The sequence below is a fragment of the Homo sapiens genome, chromosome 6 (assembly GCF_000001405.40).
Source record: "Homo sapiens chromosome 6, GRCh38.p14 Primary Assembly".
In the NCBI taxonomy this organism is placed as follows: domain Eukaryota; kingdom Metazoa; phylum Chordata; class Mammalia; order Primates; family Hominidae; genus Homo; species Homo sapiens.
Window position 1 is genome coordinate 151,479,364 of NC_000006.12, and position 6,123 is coordinate 151,485,486.

Consider the following 6,123-nt stretch of genomic DNA (forward strand, 5'->3'; position numbering starts at 1 on the left):
AGGTCACAAAATCTAGCTAGCTTTTCATTCATTTTGCTACTTAATGTTCTTATATATAAGCAGAAAACTCACTTTTAGCTCTGTGTGTGATTTTAGGATCTAATTGCTTGTGCTTTTTGCCATGCACCAAGCAATCCTATTTGACCTTGCACAAAAGTTGGCACTTTATCTTTGTAGAAAATTCTACTTCCTTCTTCCTACTTAGCTTATGTCATTTTTTTTCTTCATGGAAAACTCTACTTTTTCTCTCTGCTAATCTGTTGAACTCATTGAAGTATTGGCTAAGTCCCATCTTGACTTCCATCCATAAAGTGATGACTCCCACCTCCACATTGGGCAGGTTGGTGGTATCTCTCTCTCTCCTTTTTTTTTTCCCCAAGATGGAGTCTCGCTTTGTCGCCCAGGCTGGAGTGCAGTGGCACAATCTCCACTCACTGCAACGTCTGCCTCCCAGGTCCAAGAGATTCTCCTGCCTCAGCCTCCTGAGTAGCTGGGATTACAGGCGCGCGCCACCACGCCCAGCTAATTTTTGTATTTTTAGTAAAGACAGGGTTTCACCATGTTGGTCAGGCTGGTCTTGAACTCCTGATCTTGTGATCTGCCCGTCTTGGCCTCCCAAAGTGCTGGGATTACAGGCGTGAGCCACTGCGCCCGGCCAGTTGGTGGTATCTCTTATACAACAACACACTTTTGCAAGTTTACTGCTTTTATGGGAAGTTTAAAATGGTTTCTATAAGACAAATCGTGAAGATATAATTAAATGTATTAGTAAGGAAGAACCAAAGGCTAGAACTTATTTTCAGGTAAAAGAATCCATTGGCCGGGCATGGTGGCTCACGCCTGTAATCCCAGCACTTTGGAAGGCTAAGGCGAATGGATCACGAGGTCAGGAGTTTGAGACCAGACTGGCCAACATGATGAAAGCCCGTCTCTACTAAAAATACAAAAATTAGCCAGGTGTGGTGGTGTGCGCCTGGAATCCCAGCTACTGGGGAGGCTGAGGCAGGAGAATCACTTGAACCTGGGAGGCAGAGGTTGCAGTGAGCTGAGATTGCGCCATTGCACTCCAGCCTGGGCGACAGAGTGAGACTCTGTCTCAAAAAAAAAATAAAATAATAATCCATTGAAAAAATTTCACATTGTAGACTGTTGACACTATATATAGAAATTCTTCATGGAATGGAGGAGTATTTTGTAGCATTGAGGGGTCTGGCCTAGCAGCAGGACTCCAAGGGTAGAAATTGAAGCGAACATTGTTGAATGACTATACAAAAGTCTTTTTCTTTGTCTTTTGCTGGCGCAGACACCATCTTGTCTGGGGATCCTTCCCCGTGTTGATACCACCCCCGCTTCCCAATGATTGCTTTACGGGTGGGATGCAGTTCTAGCCAAGGTGAGGCAAGGTCACTGGATGCTTCTGGGAAACATCATCTTGCTCTTACAAAACAGCTTATGAAGAGACATCCCCCTTCTTCCTTTGGAGGTTTTCGTGTCTGGATGCAATGCTCTATTTACTGCATTTTACACATGAAATAACACGACTCAGAATAAGACACTTGCCAGTGGTAACAAATGGCAGAACCTGTATTTGAACAAGGTCAAGGGGTCCCAGCCTATTGTTTTTGCCACCACCTACGTCACCTCCCATAAAAATAGCACTCTATCATACGTTTTGCAAAGTATTTCATACTTTATTAAAAAATTCATATGTATACCATAAGAACACTATGACATAGGTATTATTACACTTACTTGATCTGTGAGGCAATAGAGCTTCAATCAGGTCCACACAGCTAGTAAGTGGCTGGGTTGGCACTTGAACCCAATGACTTCCAAGTCTTCTGCCCTTTCTGTGGTCCCAGAGATTACTATTTAAGGACGAATAATAAGATCTCCCAGAGATCAGAAATGCAACTCTGAAAACATAGACTTTGTCCTATCGGTTGTTGGTTTTCAACCTGTGCTTTTCTGAGCACTAAGCGTTCTGTGGAGGTACTTTGGGGACTTTGGGTGGCATGGACAATGGAGGTCATGGAGAAGGATGTTAGTGGGACTCTAGAGCCTCACCCTTTGTTTACAAGGTCAACAGAGGGATCTCCAAATTGATCTGTTCTAAATACTGGGCTCCTGAAAAAGACTCCAATTGAACAAAGTTTCATTGGCTTTAAAAGGAGTAAGGGCTAGGCTGGGCACAGTGGCTAATGCCAGCACTTTGGGAGGCCAAGGTGGGAAGATTGCTTGGAGCCAGAAGTTTGAGACAAGCCTGGGCAACATAGTGAGATCCTGTCTCTACAAAAAATTAAGAAGTCAGCTGGGCGAGGTGGCTCATGCCTGTAATCCCAGCACTTTGGGAGGCCAAGGTGAGAGGATTTTGTTTTTTCTCTTTTATGAATCTCATCATTCCTCGTTAATCTGAACATCCTTGAAGACAGAGTTGAGTACCTTTTACTCTCTCTTTAACTCACTGTACACTCTGATCAGTGGTCTGTATTCAGCAGGCTGATTTATCAGATGAAATAGAAGCAGTTGATGGTCTTAAATCAGTGTTTTGTATCTAGTGATAACACTTTTAGGAGCTATCTCAAGGGACATCTGTCTCTGGGAAGGCTGAGGTGTTCATTTTTTAAAAAAAATCATTAGCTGATTGCTCAGCTTCCTGTGTCTTGCTTCCTTCTCTCTTTTATAAGAGGAAGTTTTACAGACCAAATACATTTATGGCCAGTAATGCAAGTTTATAAATAGGGTATTTTAATTGAGGTTAAATCTGTGAAATCAGCAGAAGATAAAACATCTTTCCAAAAGTTAGACTAATTTATGATGATGATGTTTCTGAGAGGGGCAGATGAGAATCACTTTATATATACATACATACATATATATATATATATATATATATATATATATATATATATATATATATATATATACACACACATATATATATATATATAGGATTGGCTAAACTTCAACTGGTAATAAAAATCCAGCCTGGTCTGAATCAGAAAACTTACTGAAATGTTTTTGAATGCTTTTGTGAAACCTCAGCAGGAAGTTAGAATCAACACGGGGAATCCAGGGCAGTAAGTACATATGAGAAACAGTCGTTGCTCTCAGCTTTTAAAAACAAGAAGTATTTGTTGCTTTTTGAAAGAAAGTTGGCGCAATTTTAAAAGAAATCTGACACATGTCTAAAATGGGGTCAGGAAAATCCCACACTAACCCCTCCCACCACCCAAAGCCATAAGATTTTCCAAACTAATAAGGGCATTTTAAAGATCCGGAAGAAGCTGTCTTTTTTCTTTCGTTTAGAAACCATGTTTACTTTTGAGGTTGATTTTAACGGAATGTTAGTCAAGTTATCATCTTTTTGGAGGAATTTTACCGTTGGTCTTTCTAGAACTTCAACGTGTGGGAGCAATATCATTTTCTCATTGCTACCTTAGAATAATCCTGAGTAACCTCGCTTTGGTGGTTGTGTTAGTCAGGGTCCCCTAGAGGGACAGAACTAATAGGATATATACATATATGTATGGAGTTTATTAAGGAGTATTAACTCACACGATCACAAGGTCCCACAACAGGCCATCTGCAAGCTGAGGAGCAAGGAAGCCAGTCCAAGTCTCAAGGCTGAAGAACTTGGGAGTGCGATGTTTGAGTGCAGGAAGCATCCAGCACAGGAGAAAGATGTAGGCTGTGAGGCTAAGCCAGTCTAGCCTTTTCATGTTTTTCTGCCTGCTTTATATTTGCTGGCAGCTGATTAGATGGTGCCCACCCAGGTTAAGGGTAGGTCTGCCTTCCCTAGCCCACTGACTCAAATGTTAATCTCCTTTGGCAACACCCTCACAGACACATCGGGCTCAATACTTTGCGTCCTTCAATCCCATCAAGTTGACACTCAGTATTAACCATCACAATGGTCATAACGGCAACCTTAACGTCCTGTTCTATTGACGGCTCACGGGCACATCCTGTGAATGGACAGGGATCCTGAGGGAAGACGAGTCCTGGGGAGGGCTTTGTAGCCACAGGCTTGCAGGCTTTGAGGGTGAAATCTTGATTTTTATGAATTTAGATGAGAAACTGAGCTATTAAATGGACAAGACATTGGCATTTGAGGTCCACTATCTTCTCAGCCTTCCCCGCTCCCCAAACAGTTTCCATTGTGAAATAATCTGTCTTGTGATTATCATATGCTTTTCTTATACGTATTCATATATTTAGTTAAATTTCTGTCTTGGCTGGGGAGATAGCGTGTCTTTATAAGATGTTTGGGATACCTCTGCTTTGGTTTAACCATATGAGGCCAATTGATTGATTGATTTTATTTCATTTATTTATTTATTTGAGACAGGGTCTCGCTCTGTCACCAAGGCTGGAGTGCACTGGCCTGTCATAGTTCACTGCAGTCTCAAACTCCTGGACTCAGGTGATCCTCCCACTTCGGCCTCTCAAAGTGCTGGGATTTCAGGCGTAAGCCATCACGCCTGGCCCATAGTCCAATTGATAGTTCTAAGTTCCTGGAGGCAAGGCATCTCTTTGTTGCTCCAACCCCTTTCTAAAATTCCTATTTTCCAAAAGTAAAGAAAATGCTTCAAAAATGTATTCTTACATACTGAGTAGTTAAAAAAAATTAAGCCAAAGATCTTCCAAATTTCAGAATAATTTAGAGTAAGAGTAAACACTTTGCTTTGCTAGCCCTTCTTTGTGGTGTCTTATGGGAGAATTCTCTGCTCTGTGTTTTAGAAGAGCAATGCTAATAGCTCATACTTATTTTGTACTTTGTCCTAGGTTCTGCAGACTAAGCATTTTACATACATTACATAACTTAATCTTCAAAGCAACCACATGGATTATGCACTGCTATTACTTCTATGTTACAGATGAGGGATAGGCCCTAGGAGGTTGAGAAGCTTATCCAAGATCAGGGAATTCAGAAATGGCAAAGACAGGATTTGAACCCAGACACCCTTACTCCAGGGTGTGTCTACTTAACCACTGTTAGAGGGCCTTCAAGTCCAGGGGTAAATCCAAGGACTTTCAGTTTTTTAATTTTTATTTTTAGAGATAGTCTCCGTGTGTCACCTAGGCTGGAGTGCAGTGGCACGATCTTGGCTCACTGTAACCTCGAACTACTGGGCTCAAGCCACCCTCCCACCTGAGCCTCTTAAAGCACTGAGATTACTGGTGTGAGCAACCACACCTCGCCAGCTTTCAGTATTTTTTTAAAAGGACATTGTAGTTCTTGAGCAAAAAAAAGAAAAGAGATCTCTCGTATACTTTCTGTATTTTTGGTTTTCGTTTTCATATATATGAAACCAGATCTCATTTATAATACATTTTAAATTAAGGGTTAATCTACTGTTTGGCAACTTGGTTAAAGCAGGGAAAATGTTTTACACCACAACAATTTCACTGGGCAATCTGTTATTTCCAGCTACCAAAAAGGAAGGCTAGTTTTTGTGTAGGAAAAAGCTGCCAACTCCATGGATCAGCTCTAATTGTTTTTTTTTTTTTTCTGAGGCAGAGTTTCAGTCTTGTCACCCAGGCTGGAGTTCAGTGGCACAATCTTAGCTCGCTGCAACCTCTGCCTCTTGGGCTCAAGCAATTCTCCTGCCTCAGCCTCCCACGTAGCTGGGAATACAGGTGCCTGCCACCACACCTGGCTAATTTTTTTGTATTTTTAGTAGAGATGGGGTTTCACCATTTTGGCCAGACTGGTTTTGAACTCCTGACCTCAGGTGATCTGCCCGCCTTGGCCTCCCAAAGTGCTGGGATTACAGGCATAAGCCACCGTGCCCAGCCTCTAATTTTTAAGTACTACATCTATTGAAGACTTTTGCTCTTAGCTGTCTTCCTCTGTCAACATCCTTGGTGACATCAGCATCCAGCTATGCGACCCATCCAAAATCTTGGCCATTCAGTTCGTTGATGACATGCCTCAGAATCAATGATTTTTTTTTGCAATATTTCAACTGAGCCACCTATTCCCATGGTTACAGCCTAGGCCAGGAACTGCACTATCTCTGGTTTTAAGCATCCTACTCTGCCCACCACCGACTCTCCTTTCAATTCCCTTAACTGGAATAGCCCCATTGCAACAATGCTCTGACCTCATCAGGACCT